The sequence below is a fragment of the Homo sapiens genome, chromosome 12 (assembly GCF_000001405.40).
Source record: "Homo sapiens chromosome 12, GRCh38.p14 Primary Assembly".
Lineage (NCBI taxonomy): Eukaryota > Metazoa > Chordata > Mammalia > Primates > Hominidae > Homo > Homo sapiens.
Genome location: NC_000012.12, coordinates 77,344,950 through 77,364,877, shown reverse-complemented (window position 1 = coordinate 77,364,877; position 19,928 = coordinate 77,344,950). Strand labels below are relative to the sequence as shown.

Sequence of the window (19,928 nt, the reverse complement as noted above, 5' to 3'; positions counted from 1 at the left end):
CATAATGTATTTTCCCCAAACTTGTTTTTATAAAGTATGTGATTGCTAGAGCAAGTGCCTCTGAATAGGAATTTAATCTAATAAGAATAATGGAAACAGACAAGGAAAGGTGAACTGAGTGAAAATAACAAGTAACACATAACTGCAGACTTTATAAATACCCTTTCAGAAGGAGCCTCCAAATCTAGCTGACTGGCCCAAGTTTTTCCCCTCCAGCCTGCTGCTTTAACTCTAGCCCATAAGTGGTGCAAAGTAGTTCCCTATCTGACAGCTGCTTAGCATCCCACATGAAATAGCACTCACAACCCAGTTCAGACTCTGCTGTGCTGGCCATATCACCAACTTCCACTATATTTCAGTAGCAGCAGGCCCCTGCGGCAGGCTTGCCATTCAAATAAAAAGAAGTATGGCAGGGAGAAGTCTTTTTAATAAACTGCTAAGTATTGCTGTGCCTCTTCCTCTTCTAGGCACTAAATCATTAATTCAGAACTCAAGCAGTGTGCAGGCAAAGAGATAGGAAATGCTCAAACACTCATCCATCCTTCCCTCTGTCCCCTCTTCTTTTCTGCCTCCTTTCCTGCCTTCCAACACTTTTACAGTGGATTATTCCTGCCTATAGTTGGATATGATGTTTTGAAGAATATAATGACAAACACGTGCACATTAATGTTGGATCATTCTTTCAAAAAGAGGGAAATGAAGGGAAAAAATTTCAGATCTTTATGAGGAATATGTAGAAGTGACTGCTTTATTATGGTCTTAATGAATTTTTCTCTCACACACAAGGAGATTACCGTAGTTACTGCCAGTAGCATTTTGTAATGCCCTTTCAGTCAGTTGGAGAAAAGAGGTAAAAATTCAGTAATGATTGTGAAAATACTAACAAGTTCATTACAGTAAACATGGGGTTTTCCTCCCCTTACTTTTGAATATATGTGATTTAATAAAATACTAAACAATTGTATTATTAAAAGTTTTGAGAAACTACCTTTTATTATAAGTAAATGTAATTGAAAATGCTCATTACTTTTATAAAAAGTGTACTGGATATATGAATGTCACTCTTAGGAAATATATGATTTCACTTACCTAAAGTTGTGATTACAAATCTGAGAATACACAATTAGTTCTTATAATAGAAAATACTACCTTTAATAATCTTGGCCTTATATTTAATTATATTTATAATTGCTTCACAATAAATTCATCAACAATTTTACCAAGATACTCCCTATATCTAAATCTAAATGTCAAGTTATCAGATTTTCAAAACACAATTTGTACATACACTTAAAAACAGAGGAGGCTGAAAGCATTATCCCAAGATGCCATATTTCTATTTCTGAAAATTATGCATACTGAAATTGTGTCAAATAGAAGTGTTGAATGCTAAGTGTTACAATAGTTAAAATATAATTTAGATTTTTAAAATCAATGCGGGTACCTAATTACATATGTCTACATGTACGACTCAACATAAAATGTCTCACTAGAAAAGATGTTCAGTTTCAATGCTGAAATACTAGGTTTCACCTTTAAAAAGAAAAAGAACACACTATCGTATCATGCCAATTGACATTGACAACAAGTTCAGGTCTACAATAATAAAATGAAACTGTCCCTTAAATATGGTACTGTTTCCCCCAAAAACGGGGTCTGATAGCAGTACCTTTCAATTCACAAAAACAATAAAATGGTCATATTAAATCTATAATGTCAACAGGTTTATGATCACAAACACTTGATGAGCTGAACGTTGCACCTACCCTTCAATAATGCTTGCAGTGTGACAGGGTCTGACGGTTACCATAGTGATCATGTGGCAGCTTCTGATTTATTACCTTGTTCCCCAGGACTGTGATAGCTCTTCGGCTATACCTTCAGCAGCTATTTCAGATTTGAGAGCTACACTATGATAAATGTCTACTATCTAAAAGATATACTCAACAGAATGTAACCTTGGAGAGCAGTGCTTTAAATGCAAATCGCCAGCTTTGCCTTCCTCTTAGAATATGAAAGAGTAATTCCAAAGCCATGAAAACAGGAGGTCTCTGGCCTCTGACACAGCGATTCTTTTCCTTGGGGACTGTCATTTTCAGGGATACCACCCAGTGAATATTTAAGCAGTCTGAAACAGAAAATGAGGCAATGAATTCTGCTGAGGCTTGCCCAAGTAGCACATTGATTACAAAAGCAGGCATGAGTCTAAGCAATTAGTGAGGCATTCAGTTATATGGCGCCAAATGTGCAATGTATTTAGAAAAGTTATCACCACTGGTCAATAAATTATGCCATTTCATCTCAACTAATTGACACAGCTAACGCTTCCACACAGAACCCTGAAAAGAACATTTCAGAAGATAAATCTCACAGTCGGGTGTCCATTTGCCAATGCTTCCTACTTACATGCCAAAGGAAATGAGTTCTTATTTAAAAAAACTACCCAGTTTTATCTGATTTTTGCCTTAGGAAACACCACACACAACACCAGATATTTGTCACAGAAGTTTGTCACACAACTAGGTAGCACATAGATGCCAGCAGTCACCAGTGCACGTGTGAATTAACATCCTAGAAAGATGATGACATATAACATTTGATACCATTACCTTGTTTCTCTCTATTCTTTCATTTGACTTCATGGCAATGAAATACTGCCTTGCAAGCTTATCATGCTCATAAGCACCGTGTACTAATTTGCGTATTAGCAAGTCCCACATGGCTACCAAGTTATTGATTCTGCCATCTAATTCCCTGGCCTTGACAGGAAGGATATTGCTTTTAGGATAAATAAAACAATCTCCGCAATCATTTATGTACAGTTCTTAGAGATCTGTTTGCAGAAATCTTTTCGAAGGAAGAAAACACAGACACTATTTTCACAGCTTAGATCAGCACAAATGAAGACCAGTTTACTCTCTTTTTTGCAAATATTAAAGCATAACCATAGCCAGGGATGTGTTCTTCCTGACTCACAAAACCCAGAGGTTGAAATATATTTTCCATTTTCTGCTTTGTTGATTCATCAAATCTGTGCAATTTCTGTCTGTGTAGTACGTTAATGGGCTCTTCATAAATCACTGCTGACTTAACCAAAGACTTACTTGATACTAACTCTTACTTTGTTTTACTGGTAAATGGGGTAGTGGAAAAGTCAAATAAGTCAAAAGACCTCTCATTTTCAAACAACTGGAATACAGACATATTTGCCAAATAGTTTCAGGAACTACTTTCAAATTACAAATCATATTTTGGGGGATGGGGAAAGGCAGAAATTGACTGCTTTGAATTAGCTATTTGATTCTGTACTGGGAAAAGAAAACCAATAGAATACAGACAACTCTTCACCTCCTCCACCACCCATAATGCCCCCCAGCTCCTTATCACAAATGGTTACACATCTGTAAGCATTGCAAGCTATTTAATTGAATATGACCTGTCTGTTCTCACTAATTCTCACTAGGAATTCACTGGTACTGTACACACATGAGACCAGTATGGGACTAATATCTTTTTATTTCAGACCAGATACACAAGAAGTAGAATTCAGACAATCAGATCAAGTATTGAGAGGTCACAAGATATTAGCATCTATAAGAAAATATTATTTTTAAAAACTATATCCATGTATTTGGTATTAAGAAGTCCCAAAGTTAAAAAGCAATTTATGTACCTCATAGCATTTCTACCTTGCACAGGAGCAAAATTAGGCAAATACATAACTTGCAAATCTGGCTTGGCCTTAATTGTGTAAACAGTGAACTAGCATTTTTACATAGGTCTCCATTTCACTACTGTCCTTGAAGCTATGGCATCAGCCCTAACATTCCCAGAACCTGGTACTCCAAACCTACTTTACAGGTCCCAGTCCTTAACACTAATACAGTGGCTTTACATCTGCACCTCCAACTAGAACAATTTGTGAACAGGATAAGAAAAACACTGGTTTCTACAGGCTCTCTGATTCCATTCTATTTCCTCCTTACCCCCACTAAGCCACCAGGTATAGTATAGACAGGTGATCAAAACCAAAGTGGTAAAACCCAGGATAGCCAACACAATATTAAAAATGAAGAACAAAGTTGCACGAGTGACCCTACTCATGTTCAAGACTTACTATAAATCCACAGTCATCAAGATAGTGTGGTTTGATGAAAGAAAAGGCAAATAGATCAATGGAACAGAATAGAGACCCCAGAAATAGATCCATATAAATACAGTCAGCTGATCTTTGACAAAGGAAAAAAGACAACATAATGGAACAAAAATAGTGTTTTCAACAAATAGTGCTGAAACAACTGGACATCCACATGCAATAAAAAAAGATTAATCTAGACACAGATCATACACTTTTCACAAAAATTTAGTCAAAATGAATCATAGACCTAAGTGTAAAACACAAAACTATAAAACTCCTGCAAGATAACATAAGAGAAAATTTAGATAACCTAGGGTTTAGCAATGACTTTTTAGATATGATACCGAAGGCGCAATCCATGAAAAAGAATGGATAAATTTGTCTTCATTATAATTAAAATTTTCTGCTGTCCCATAGATTGGGAGAAAATATGTGCAAATGATTAAAGGCTCATTATCCAAACTATACAAAGAACTCTCCAAAACACAATAAGAAAACAACCTGATTTAAAAATGGGCCAAACACCTTAACAGACACCTCACTAAAGAGGCTGTATAGATGGGGGAAAAGCATATGAAAAGATGCTCCACCAGAAAAATGCAAATTAAAACACCAATTCAATACCACAACACACCTATTAGAATGGCAAAATCCAGAACACCAACAACACTAAATGCTGGCAAGGATGTGCAACAACAGGAACTCTCATTCATGGCTGGCAAGAATGCAAAATGGTACAGCCATTTTGGAAAACAGTTTAGCGGTTTCTTGGAACATTGAACATACTCTTAACATATGATGCAGCCCCTTGGTATTTACCCCAAAGAGCTGAAATCTTATGTCTAGACAAAAACCTGCCTACAGATAGCTACAGCAGCTTTACTCATAATTGTCTGAACCGGGAAGCAACCAAGATGTCCTGCAGTAGATGAATGGAAAAACTGTGGTACATCCAGACAATGAAATGTTATTCGTCCCTAAAAAGTAATGGGCTATCAAGACATGAAAAGACATGAAAGAAACTGAAATGTATATTACTAAGCAAAAGAAACCAATCTGCTTACTACACAGGCTACATACTATATAATTCCAACTCTGACATTTTGGGAAAAGTGAAACTATGGAGACAGTAAAGAGATTTGACAGGGTTAGCAGGGAGGAAGGAATGAATAGGCAGAACACAGAGAATTTTTAGGGCGATGAAACTACTCTGCAGGATATCATAATGTTGGGTACACGTCAATATACATTTGTCCAAAACCACAGAATGTGTGACACCAAAAGTGAATCCCAATGGAAACAATGGACTTTAAATAAAAGTGATGTGTGGATATAAGTTCAATTATTATAACGAAATGTACCACTCTGGTGGAGGATGTTGATGATGAGGCAGGCTATGCAGCTATTAGGGCAGAGGGTATATGAAAAATCTCTGTACCTTCCACTCAGTTTTGCTATAAACCTAAAACTACTCAAAAAAAAAAAGTGTGTATATAAATACAGAGTTTTAGTAATAAAATTTATCTATACTTATGGTTTGGTTTCATTTTTGTTTAAGGAAAACTGGGCCAGGCATGGTGACTGACATTTGTAATCCCATTTGGGATGCTGAGGCAGGAGGCTCACTTGAGCCCAGGAGTTCAAAACCAACCTGGGCAAGATGGTGAGACTCTGTCTCTACAAATAAATAAAGAAAGGTATAAGAATACATTTTAGGGCCAGACATGGTGGCTCATACCTGTAATCCCAGCACTTTGGGAGGCAGAGGCGGACAGATCACGAGGTCAGGAGTTCAAGACCAGCCAGGCCAACACAGTGAAACCCCGTCTCTGCTAAAAATACAAAAATGAGCTGGGCATGGTGGCACAAGCCTGTAATTGCTTGAACCGGGACTGGGAGGCAGAGGTTGCAGTGAGCCGAGATTGCGCCACTTCACTCCAGGCTGGGCTACAGAGCGAGACTCCATCTCAAAAAAAAAAAAGAAAATAAATTTTAAAGAAAAATAGAGTGTAAATCTACCAATTCCTTCCTGTCATTTAATTGTAAACCAACTAGCACCCACCCATCCAAACCCAGTGCTAGAAAAGAAAAAAAAAAAAAGGTGTTGACGGAGAGGTCTGCAGTCTTCAACACCTTCTGTTTCAGCAGCTCCTGCAAATCCTGTCCCTTCACTTTTCTTACCTATGTAGCCCACTAGTAGTTAACAACTGTCAGGCAGGCAAGAGTCACTGTGGCCCAGAGGTCACCAATCTTATTAAATCTCTATGCCGCCACTAGGACTAAGTAATGCCCACACTGCTCAGAGCAAGGCAGGGGGGAAAATGATTGAAGAGACAGAGTTAGAAAAGCCAGAGCAGAAATGAAAAACGAATAAGAAGTGAGTAAGTGGTAGAAAAACCAAATACTTCCACACATGGACTGTCCCTACCTTTCATCTAAGAATACAACAATCAGCCGGGCGCGGTGGCTCACACGTGTCATCCCAGCACTTTGGGAGGCCAAGGCGGGCAGATCACAAGGTAAAGAGATCGAGACCATCCTGGCCAACACAGTGAAACCCCCGTCTCTACTAAAAATATAAAAATTAGCTGGGCGTGGTGACACGTGCCTGCAGTCCCAACTACTTGGGAGGCTGAGGCAGGAGAATCGCTTGAACCTGGGAGGTGGAGGTTGCAGTGAGCCGAGATCGTACCAATGCACTCTAGCCTGGTGATAGAGCGAGACTCCATCTAACAAAAAAAAAAAAAAAAAAAACAAGAATACAACGATCAAGAAGGCATTTGGTGTAATCAACCGTTGCAACTGGGAAACTCCCCTAAAACAGAGCACAATCTTACATTTTTATGATAGATGTCATTCTACTGTGAATATACTGCCCACACCCAGAAGTACTGATGTAGTCATCCTTTGGCATTTTGTAGACAAGTGCGAAAATTCTGCGAGTATGAAACATATTGACATTTATTTTTATAATGGCAATGTTCCAAGATAGAATACACTGTCTTTCATTTTAATGAACAAGAATTGGACTGGAACAAATACACATGATATAGCTTCTCACTTTTTAATCTCATTTACATATGCTAAATACATTATTAAACAATCTTTCTAGTGTTGTCTTAGCTATACAATTACAGGTTTATGTCTTGTTTGTAAATGTTTATAGTTGAGGGAGAAGCAATGATCATTGAGTCTTTACAAAGATCATAATATTAGGTACAGAGACCTAGTGATCACTTTCAAACACTATAAATTGAACAGAGGTGGTTGGCTTTATCTGTTAAGAAAAAAATTTTACTTCATAATGCATAAAACTTCACTTATTTCAAAAAACATCCTCTATAAGTACATCCAAGATTATAATCATATTATATTCTTCTTAAAGTTTTAAAAATAGCATGTGACGAAAGAGATACAGCTAATCTAAAGATATCAGGATGGTAAGGCCTAAGGCCATGGCATGTGAAAAGCCAATGAAGGAGATTATCTAGCCTGGGGAGGTCAGCTCAACTCAAGAAGAGATAGGTATGTGTGAGGGGAATTAGATGTGCTCTTGATGGCACCAGATATCAAAGTAGTAACAATGGTTAGGAGGTTTAGGGAAATAGATATCAACTTAAAATGAAAATTTTTATTTAGAAAAATTACCATGACTTAAAGATAGGAAGAGCTTCATAAATTAGTGTGTAAGAATTGTCTAGAAAGAATACCTAGAAGGATGGTTATAGTCTCACTTTAGACTCCATAATACTTCAGGGCCTTTTGGACCAGATAGACTATGTTATGAGATCACTGGAAATGTTAACCACATATAGAATAATGACATGCACTACTCGGAAACACTCTAAGGACTAATTAGCAACTGAGTTGCTTGCTGCCAATGCCAAATGGTCATCCAAAATTTAAGTTACCAACATTTGTTTCCTTTTTCTCAAAATATGGTTTTAATCAAAACAGGACTAAGCAAATAAACCAAGAAAATACTCAAAACCTTCAATATGGCACCAACACAGCTCAAATACTTTATTCCTCTTTCCTTCTAATCCCTAGGCCATTTTCCACTGGCAGAGAAGATAGAACAGACTGAATAAACACAATAGAAAAATAGGTTTTGATCTCTCAAATCAACAAGCCACTTCTATGCCCTTTGAGCTGACATCACAAATCACTTTAATATAATTTTCTGTAGTTCCTTTATAAACAATGCCTTAAGTGGTGGGCTAAGTGGGGGGAAGTGCTTAAGGAATCAGCCTTTCCCCAGTGGTGTTTCGCAGCTATGTGACTGGTCGTTTCTACTTACTGATGTGTATATGATACCTATTCATTAGCTATTCTGTTGTAGGGAAGCTGGACTAGATAGCTTTAAGCTCTCTTTCAAACCTAAGAGCTGATAAACTTATGCAACTTGGAAATCAAAGCTGAATCAAACTGCAAACAATATACCAAATCTAAAGATTTTTGAAATACTGATATTTTTCCTCTCCCCAAGAAGACAGAGTGTGTTACAATTTCTAATTCATTCAACACCTGAATACCTACTATGTGCTAAACACTGTTCTAGGAACTAGGCATACAGCAATAAAATAAAGAAATCCACAGCAATAAACTAAAGAAATAGTGACACATTTGAACACTCTAAAATACTTGAACTATAAAAAACCCAAGCTATTATAAACATTCATTCATAAAGATTATATAATGTATATATGTATATATACTTAATGTATAAGTCATATAGTAAAATATGATCTAAGAATTTTCAGAGACAGCACAATTCTGTGAAAACTTAATAGATTAAGCACTAGATGGATCAGAAAGGTATGTAATAACTATTCAAAAGCTGAAGAGTACTATTCCAATGCCTAGATGCATGGACTCATCATCAGGCACAGATGATGTGATCAGAAACTACTTCCTGTAAGTGATTTTCTATTTATTATGAGCCTTTAATCAACAAGCAAGCATTGGGTGTCTAATAGCTGTAAATTCTACCATTCATTCTACCTTTAAGTGCTTACTATATGCAAGTTCCATGGTGGAATATAAAGATAAAATACATAGTCCCATGTTTCAAGTGGTTCAGAGTATACTAGCCAAAATTAGACAACATATAAATATAGAAATCATAATATAATATAGTTTAAAAACTAGCATAAGTCAGGAATTTTGAGTGTAATGTACACTACTGTATTAATTGAATATTCATTGCCACCAATTGTAAAATACACTATCATGTTATAACAAGAAAATAGGAAACAACAGATTAAAAAAATGATAAAGGAATAACATATTTTACTAGGGAGGAAAAGAGAAGAGTGCCAATTAACCAAGATGCATTATTAATTGTAAAGATTTGAGAGATTTTAAAATGTGGAAAAATTTGTTTATTAGCATCAAAGAGAAATGATACTAACTAAAAGTAATTAAATTAACAGCTTTCTATAAATAAACGACTATACCTGAAGGAAAATTATCTATGCTTGCAATGAAGATTAACTCAATCACCAGACAGAAATACACCATGGTGCAATGTCAATTTCAGCAGCACATAAAATACCATACTGACCTTGAAAGTGATCTTGGAAAGCATCCTTACTCAGACGCTTATTTTGTACCATCCCCAATTTTGCCATCCCCTAAGAGACAATTACTCCCACAAAAATCTGTACTTGCATTTGTTTTTCCTTTCACTTTGGAAACCACAGTTGTGCTTTATAAGTTTTAAGGGCAAAAAATATCTTATTGACTTCTGAATCCTAGCTCAGTGCTTGTTTAATGAATCACCAATGACTCTTTGACATATCTGAAACAACAGACACTACCAGCATAAGACAATCAAGACTGGTCTATAAATGGTAGAGTATAAGGCAGGGCATAAAACCAACAGACTCTCAAACTTCTCAGCCCCAGTTTTAGCATACTATCAAGGAACTGTTTGCTGGTATTACTGGAGAGTTATGAATAGCTTCATTTCATAACTTACTAAATTGGAAGAAATACTGTGTCTGAAACAAGGATTAAAATACAGCTCTAAAGACACAAAGAGAAAGGAAATACTTACAGAATAATACCCTGGGCAAATAATCAAATTTGAATTGGAGGCTGGGACTTTCTCTCTTAATGATAGCATAGAGGTAAACAGATGTGGTCCACATCTGAGTGCATTTTTAAAATGTAGCAGGTCACTGGGTAAGGGCATGTAAAAATTAAGTTATTAGCACTATAAAGTACTTCAATATTATTGTCAGGCCATCATATAAAGAAAAGTCTCCACAGAAAGAAAAATGCAAGAGTATGAAATCTGTAAGGTTTCATGTGTATTTGGAGATGGGGCTACATAGAGGTGAAGTCCTGAGTTACTGTTATTACAGACAGGAATCTCCAAGATGTTTCTTATTGCCGTTATGGGTAACAGCAGAATTACATGTTCCATTTCTTTTGTGCTTACAATGTGCCAGGTGCCGTATACTGTGTTAAGCACTTAAGATCTAATATCTCACTTAATTCTCATTACCATCCTTCACTCCCCATTTCGAATGTTACCAACTCTTGGTAATTATAGCACCTAAATTTCTCTCCAGCCATCTGCACCTTTCCATCGCCACTACCACTACACTAAACTGGGCCCTCCTCCCCTTTAACATAAACCAGTGAATGCATTTCCCTACTAAACTCCTATTCTCAAGTCTCAGCCTTCTTCTAGCTCTTCCCCCATATTGCTGGTGGACTTACCTTTATAAATGCAAGCTATCATTCTTTCCAGTGCCACGGGTTCTAAACCCTTAGCAGAGCATGTGAGTTCTGCATAATATAGATCCTATCTGCCCTTCAAGACTTTACTGCCCCTTCCAACCTTTAGTTCTAGGCTCCAGCCAGGCAGCACTTTGATCATATTTTTAGTACCCTACACAGGCCATGTCACTTTACCTCTCCATGCCTCCTGCAAACTGTTATAGACCCTGCAAGACTCAACTCAAACATCACTTCTGTGAAGATTTCCATGACATAAACCCTCACCTCCTAGCAATTACCACCTGTCAAGAAATGGCAGCCTAATAGTAGACATGTATTCTTCACACTTCCAAAGCACATGGCTCATTCTGTGGAAGTCAGTTGGTGAGAGTGTGGGGGACTGAACAGAAAAGGCTGGACACCCACCCCAAGGGCATGCTTTAAACTCAGTTAATTTCACCACAGTCTAGTGTAGCTCAATTCCATCAGTGATAGAGTTGACCAGAATGGAGAAGCCAACTCATACTCACTAACCAAGTAGTAAATGACATATGTAGTCTTTAGCTCATCAGCTAATCGGGGCAGCAAAAAAAGCATGTGAAACGACAGTGTCAACACATTTCTTTTTGTCTTTATTATATCTGATTCACATTAGGTTCTGATCCTATTTATGCCTGAAGCATGCCTTATTTTTATAGCTTTATTGAGGCAAGATAGATCATTTCTTTCTTTGTCTGCCCTGCCTTGGGAGATGATTTTCAAAAAGCCAAATCCTTATATCTCTTTTCCTTTTCATTTTAATCTTCATAAAGACATGCTTTCACCACATCATGCCAGAAAATGAGTAATCGTGCTAACAGCACCTAAGAAAATATGCAAACTACTAACATTTCTGAAGCCAAGAAGGATTTAACACATTGTCTTTATCTGATTTCCTTCCTAAAAATAAAAATTGAGTTAGTGTATACCAGGAAGTATATTTGCAGTAGGTAAATATGTCTTATGTATGTTCCACTTTACTCCAACTCTTTCTAATTTCTTCCTAGAAATTATGTACTCACATGAAACTAGTTATTATGTTTATAGAAAATAAACAAAGTCAGAATTTCAGCAGTAATACACACGAGCAGCTATTTCTTTTGCCTGCGGTGTGTATAAGACCAAAATATTTTAAAACATGTTATACCACTTTGAGGTATTATCTGTTGTTGACTGCCACTAACTCTAATTTTATATCAGCAGGAAAGAATATTGCTTGAAAATATTAAATGAACCTATAAATTTGGGTCCTCCATCGTCAAGTTTTCCTAGCATACAATTCCTTTGGGTAATAATGTAGACAGTGCTGGATGAATCTAACTCCCTTGCTTAGGACATACATTTTTCTAATCTAAACATAAATGCAAAAATCAGTTATGTCAAAATTTCATACAATGTTCTTGTAGAATTTTTTTTTTTTTTTTTTTTTTTTTTGAGACAGAGTCTCACTCTATTGCCAGGCTGGAGTACAGTGGAGAGATCTTGGCTCAGTGCAACCTCTGACTCCCTGGTTCCAGCGATTCTCCTACCTCAGCCTCCCAAGTAGCTGGGATTACAGGCACGTGCCATCACGCCCAGCTAATTTTTGTATTTTTAGTAGAGACGGGGTTTCACCATGTTGGCCGGAATGGTCTCCATCTCTTGACCTCGTGATCCACCCACCACAGCCTCCCAAAGTGCTGGGATTACAGGCATGAGCCACTTCACCCAGCCAAAATTTTTTAAAGAAAAGAGAAGGGGAAAAAGAGAAAGACAACAAAATTCTAGCAAATGGGACCTGAGGAAGCTTCAGACAGAGATTAACAATTGCCTCAAAATCATCAAGTGGCATTGTTATTTGAATACTATTAACCATGGACAGACACCACAGTACACAAAGGCTGTTCAGAATTAGAAAAGCTACTGACTCTGCTAAATCACACACAATATACTGGCCACTAGCACACAAAGGATTAAGTATTCAGCAAGCTAACTGGGCCAGAAATAAATGTCAGAACATATATGTAGTAAACAGTAGTCAATGACCTGGTTCCTGCCCACCTCATTACTCAAATATGCTGTCCTCCAGCTTTTTTGTATTGGAAGAAAATAATTTAACACTGGATAACATCATGGATAGGCATACATGAATAAAGTAATCCCAAAAATTCCCTCCTTAATAAGAGGTCTGTATCTTAAACAACAGGCAAAGTATTAGAGAGCCATATCTCTTAAAGGAGGGATACTGTCAAGAGGGGTTTAATATCCCTTTCCTAAATATTTTTGCTTAATTCAACTTCTTAAGATTACCAATGACAAAACAAGGAAATGCATTCTTGGGGAGTCAGAGATTCAGATGCTACATCCAGTATTCTCACTTGGTGACATTGGGTTTCTCACTTCTTTAGATGAGAGTTTTTTCATTGTTAAAAAAAGAAAGGTGTATGTAGCTTAGTCTAAATTATCTCCAGTGTACAAAAACAGCTTGGGGTTTATTATTACTTTTTAAAGTGAACAAATTAGAATAAAGATAACACAGATTTCAGTGAATGCACATTTTATCCACTGGAAGACTGAACTCTAGCTATCCTATAAAAATGGTGGTCACTGTTTTCCTTTAGAATTCTCCAAAGGTGACTTTATAATGTCCCTTAGCAATATACTGTCATATTTAGATAAGGAGAAAAAGCAGAATAAAATGTTATACAAATTGCTCAAATCAATGCATAGATGGAGTCTTGGCTAACACAAACCACAAGAAATGACCTTTTTAACATTTGGGGAGGGAAGTACAGAAAATGCATCAGTTCTTAATACAGAATAAAAGTACTGAATCTGTTCTATAGCCAAATCACTACAGAGAGGGTTAGGAATAGAAGGTGAAATCCTGACTTTGGTTTCCTCTTTATTATTACACCTCTAAAGCACCACTTCCCAAACATTGTTCTATGAGATGTTCACAGTTGCCTATCTGAAAACGGGGCTCTGGGACCAAATGCAGAAAGAAACAGTTAAATAGGTTTCTCCACTGCTGACCTTTTCATAGCATGTAGTACAAATATAGATCTGTATCTCCCAAGGAGGAATACGTAAGGCATCAACACCCTACCTTTGCCTCCCCACAACCAAAATACCTACTAACCCTTTATGAAACAGAACAGAACACTCTTCTACCTACTGGAATTTTTTTTTAAAAAAAGCTGATCTAAGTTTTCCCTCAAATTCCCACCAGCCCCCTCACTATTTTCCCATATACAAAATTTAAACTCTACTTCAGGTTACTTATCAAGGAAGTTTCACATTTAAATAGTTTAGTGAATAACAAAATGCTTGAATGAAAGAAAGGAATCCCGTCTTCAATTGTATTGCCCACAACTTTTTCAGAGTATGTCAAATTCACTGTTTAAAGAACAAGATTAAATTACTGTTACTGTTATTTCAAAAGGTTTTTTTTTCTTTTGCAGATGACAGAAATACACTACTATGATACTCTGCTCCACAAACACAAATTCATTCATCTACCTATTTCCCTCCTCACCACCCCTTTCTCTCAACACACACACAGGCATACAATTTCATGGTAAAATATCTCAGGAACAGAAAACCAGCACAGCATTACTCCTGCAGTTTCTCCTTATACAACCTGCAGCTTAAGGGAAGGTCAGCAGCATAAAAAAAGGTGATGACTTTGAAATGTGTATCACGAAACCAAGCTATTTATCAATAAGCCTAACAAGAATAAGGTGAGAGCCCATTTCAGCTGGCCAGAATGACTGCTGTACATCACACTCAGAGGCAGCAAGCCAAGACAGAATAAGGGTTACCAAGTTGTTATGGTAACTAAATTGTAGCTGGTTCCATAAAACATTAGCTTTTCTATCCCAGGGCCCATGTTTAAAATTCAATGCAAGTCAAGGTCTTTAGTTCAAATGAGGCAGCTAGTGGTCCCCTCAACCTACAATAAACCACGCCAAGAACGAACTCCATTTGTGCAGAGCACAGCAGCAGCCACAAACAAGCAAGCTCAGCTGCTCTAAGCCAAAGGGCTTCTCCCATTAACCCTCAGCCTGTGACATCATGACCAAAGCGGCAACCTACTCCAGCTGACTTCACCGATAGACCAGCACTATCCACAAAGGGAAACAAAACAAAGATGCAAAACAAAGGTCAGAGAAACCACAGCTGAAAGCAAAATCAGAGGTGGAACAATCCTCTGATATCCTCAGCACACGTAGATCAGCGTTTAAGGCAGAGGCTTCAGAGTCCAAGAGATTCAACTTGAATATCAACTCCCTTACTGAGTGCCTGTGTGATCTGGAGAAAGAGCCTTCTTTTCACTTAAGCCTACCTGTACTACAGAAGTAATAATTGTAGGGTTGCATAGCAACAAAGTTAATAGTACATATGTTTATCTCATGGAGGCCCAGGGAGCCAAAAAGATTTGCACAAGCAGGTTAGTGTTAGAATGCAGAGACAGGAATGCAGGTCTTTTTTCCTGCCAGATCTTTGGATTTAAACTAGGAAACTCAAAAGTAATGCTATGCATTGGATTTGAATCCTTTTTCTGCAGCTAACTAGCTGCGTGACTTTAGGCAAGTTGCTTAACCTCTCCCAAGTTACTTGCCTCTCAGTGCCTTCAACTGTAAAATAAGGATACTGCTACCTATTCCTTACAGTTGTTGTGAAGATTACAATAAGACAATGCTTTGCCTGTATAACATGAACACAATACATGTTGGCTATTGCTATCATTCTGGTGGTGACAGTTATTACCATCGACGGTAGATAGAATGGCCCCCATCCCCAAAGAGGCCCATATCATAATCTCTGGAACCTATGACTGTTACTCTATGTGTCAAAAGAGACTTTGAAGATGTCATTAAGTATCTTGTGATAGGATTATTATCCTGGATTATTCCAGATGGACTCAATGTAATTGCAAGGGTCCTCATAAGGTAAAGAAAGAGAAGAGGATGGAATGACAAATGCAGAGGTCAGACAGAGAGATCTGAAGATGGCACACTGCTGGTTTTAAAGATGGAAGAAGGAGCCACAAGCCAAAGAGTGCAGGTAGCCTCTAGAACCTGGGACCTTTGGAAAGAATGCATCCCTGCTTACACCTCACCTTGACTTTAGAACTTTTGACTTCCAGAACTGTAAGATAATAAATTTGTCTTGTTCTAAGCTACTACATTGGTAGGATTTGTTACAGCAGCAATAGGATACTAACATATTACCTTATTAATATAGAAAATAGGCAAGTGTGGGGAAAACACACGGCACATAGTAGGCACTGAATAAATGATGGTTGGTGAGCTATATTTGAGGGATGGCAGTAACTCAGGGAGACTCCAAGCCTCTCCAAGGAACCACAGGTGATAAGGTTTGGATCTGTGTCCCTGCCCAAACCTCAAGTCGAATTGTAATCTACCTAGTGTTGGAGTTGGGGCCTGCTGGGAGGTGATTGGATCATGGAGGTGGATCCTTCATGAATGATTCAGCACCATCCCCTTGGTGCTGTTCTCATGATAGTGAGTAAGTTCTCACGAGATCTGGTTGTCTGAAAGTGTGTAGCACCTCCTCCTCCCCCTTCCCTCTGCTCCAGCCATGTGAAGTGCTGGCTCTCCCTTTGCCTTCGGCCATGATGTAAGTTTCCTGAGGCCTCCCCAGAAGCCAAGCAGATGCCAGAATCATGCTTTCTGCACAGCCTGCAGAATCGTGAGCCAATTAAATCTCTTTCTTCATAAATTACCCAGCCTCAGGTATTTCTTTATAGCAGTGCCAGAATGGACTAATACAGCAGCCCTCTAGTATGCCATGGCAGCTAATGCTTGTTACCTGCTGCAACCTGTATGCTTCCTACTGTATATCAAACAGCTGGAGATAGATACTGTCTTCTAACCACTCATTCTTAGATAATTGTGCCTGAAATAGTCCAGGTAACTAAATGAACCAGAAGGGGAAGTACCATCAGCCAAGAAGCAGCTGAATTCTGAAGATGTGCAGATCTACACAGGAATGTCATTAGGCCCAAGGCTGTCTTATAACTAAACAGAAGAAAGCCACAGAACATAACTTCCATAGCCCTTGTTACAGTCTTTTGTTATAATGGTGGATGTGTTAAGCCTCAGGGGCAGCCTCAGGAAACAGAGCCGCTCTGACTTTCTCCTGCCTCCCTTTCACCTGTCCCAAGGCAGGGCTCTAATCTTCCTTACCTTTCTGATTGTGGGTCATAAGACCCTCATTCCAGAGAGGATCTGGCTCCATACCCTAGAGGAAGGGATGCTGAGTCATGAAGCTTCCATAAAACCCAAGAGAATAGGGTTCAGGGAGCTTCCAGATAGCTGAGCACATGGTGGTTCCTGGATGGTGGCACATCCATGGAGGGCATGGAAGTTTCCCCTATGCCTTGTCCTATGCATTTCTTCTATATCCTTCGTAATATCCCTTATAGTAAACCAGTAAATGTTATTTAAAAAAAGAAGCATTTCTACGTGCCTTGGGTCAGGTCTAAGACCACCAACCCTACAAATTTGATAGCATCCATAATAAGGGGCCTCCAGATAATCCCCAGTGAGGTGTGAGACACAAAATTTCAAAAGCCTGCGCCAGCCAATATTGAGGAAAAGCACTAACATAGGAGCTATCATAAAAGCTGTTTCCCCTCCCTCCTGTTCCAGCTGATGTCCAGTGTGCACGGAATATTACAATCTCTCTTGGCAGTGTGTCTGCAAGTACATCAGTGACATGGGAAGGGGTGGCAAGTTCATTCCACTCCCTCTGCAAGGGACTTGGCTTCCTGCTGCCTGAATGTTATATGTGTAGAGGAGAGGCAGCTTAACTGAGAGTACTATACAGACACAGTGGTTAGAGTGGTGTTAGGAACAACACTCCCAAATCAGGTGCAGGAAGATGGATGAGATATCTGCAATAAAGAGACTAGGAATGGGAAAGAATACAGCAGAGAAACAAGGGGACAGAATAAATGGCACAATCAAAACTGATTATTCACACTGGGGAAATGCCAGTCAGGGCTGCTTCTTGAGGACCTGCATATACCTTCTTGAATATAGCCTCATTTTTACACTGCATATTGCTTAAGGTCTCAGCCCTGGAATAGTCACCTTGGTGACTATGGAGGGTAAGGTAACAACACAGTTGCTTTCTTGGGCACCCAGAAGAATGTCTGATGTGATATTTGTCTTGAAATGCTCTCTCTATATGGGCCCACCCCTAAAATTATATTCTTCAAGTTCAAGTCTTTCAAATAAAAGGCATTAAAAAGGATAGAAGAAATGAAGTCTGACTCAAACTCATCCTCCAAATAGACAAAATATGTATTAAGAAAGGAAAGGCATAAACAAGCAAAGCTGAATAAGAAGATGCTTTTATCTTAGATGAGATTGCATCCTTCTTTCTTCTGTTAGGATTTGCATTTACCTAAACATCATCTGTACATGAAGATGTGGCATGTGATTCCAACTGAAGGCTAATAATGGGTGGAATAAACCATGGAATGTCATAATTTTTAAACTGCATGCCAAGGATCCCTCAGAGTCCTTGGGTAGGGTGTGTGTGGAAGAGAGGGTGGGGAACTGGAATCCTGCCCCCGTCCATGCTTCACACTGAACTTTGTCTTAATTTTGAGTTTGCTGACAAAAGAATGCTTAAAAACATCTAACCTAATGTAAACTTCTCATTCGCCAACAAATAAAAAGAATGGAAGACAGGGTGCCCAATTTGCCCAGGACACCAGGACACTCCAGGTTTGAATAGCACCTCCACAAAGAGACAATAAATTACATAGTCACCAAGCTAGAGACATCACAGGTCAGCCTAGGGTCCCACGTTCATATGAAGTTCAGCCAGTACCAGAACGTGCCTCCTAAGAGTCTTCCTACTACACAGTATTTTTCTCTTGTCAACAGAAAATGTTTCACTTATTTACTTTTTGTTTCTATTTGTTTCACCAGCAGAGGAAAAATTCCATTAAAACCTAATAGCAGGCTTGGAAAACATTTAAATTGTCGCTGGATATTTTTCCTGTTTTATACCACACTGATTCTTTGCCTTGGATATGAACCAAACACTGTAGAGCTTGTTTGTATGATCCTTTTGAAAAGTTATTTAGGTTTTTTTTCTTCTTCAGTAGAGTTATGACTAAAACTGAGATGTGAAAACTCTCTGGAACTGATCCAGAGAGGTATACCAGAGAACACAAGAATAATACCCCAGTATAAATAAGGTCCTGGTTTCTAGATGTTTTTGTTTTGTTTTATTTATGTTTGGATAATATAGCAAAAATTATGGAGTACAGAATCTACATTCATTTCTAGTATGAAATCTGAGATTTCAGAGCAATTTCCTACTTGTGTCTGTAGACTGCCACGTGAACCTTAGGGCATGTATTTATAGTCTTATTCCATTTTTAGGAGCACTGCAAGTTGATAAGCTTTACAGTGGTGTTCCATGTTAACACTTTAGGATTTGTGGCTGACATCCCTGACCTGCCATGGTAATCACTATCATTGCTTTTCAGAATGAGATCTTCTCTGTGCCTCCCTGAAATGAACTCTGCCTTTTCCCCTAACTTTTAGGGCCAAGCCCCATTTGGGCTATCAACATCCAAACAGGCTTCTTGCTAGCTAGTGGAAAAAGACTTCTGAAACTCACTGAAGTCCCACAAATGCTGACCCAGCCACATTAACTTCAGCATAGCCATGTGGCCTCCACATCCAGAGGCCTGCCTACAAAATGCAGATGCAGAGAGAAAAGAACAAGCATTATATCAAGCCCCTTATCAATATATCATGTGCCCAAATATTGTATGTTCCCAGGTTCCCAGCTATATGCTAGGTTGTTGACATGAGAAAATCTTATCAACCTCTGCTATTTTCCTAATGCTCAGATGAAAACTACTGGTGTCAGAAAAAAAGAAAAACACAACAACAACAACAACAACAAAAAACCTAAGTAGTAGAAGTAGGCAATAAACAATGGAAAGCGATGGAAAAAAGCTATAGCATATCTTCCAGTAGTC

General features: G+C 38.3%; 1 annotated feature.

Moving 5' to 3' along the window:
- Window positions 16,024-17,223: an enhancer, noted in NCBI's record as "MED14-independent group 3 enhancer chr12:77741435-77742634 (GRCh37/hg19 assembly coordinates)". NCBI's record gives its function as "activates an origin of replication core promoter dependent on BRD2, BRD4, P300/CBP and CDK7 cofactors, and independent of MED14, by STARR-seq in HCT116 cells {active_cell/tissue: HCT116}" and the evidence as "EXISTENCE:reporter gene assay evidence [ECO:0000049][PMID:35650434]".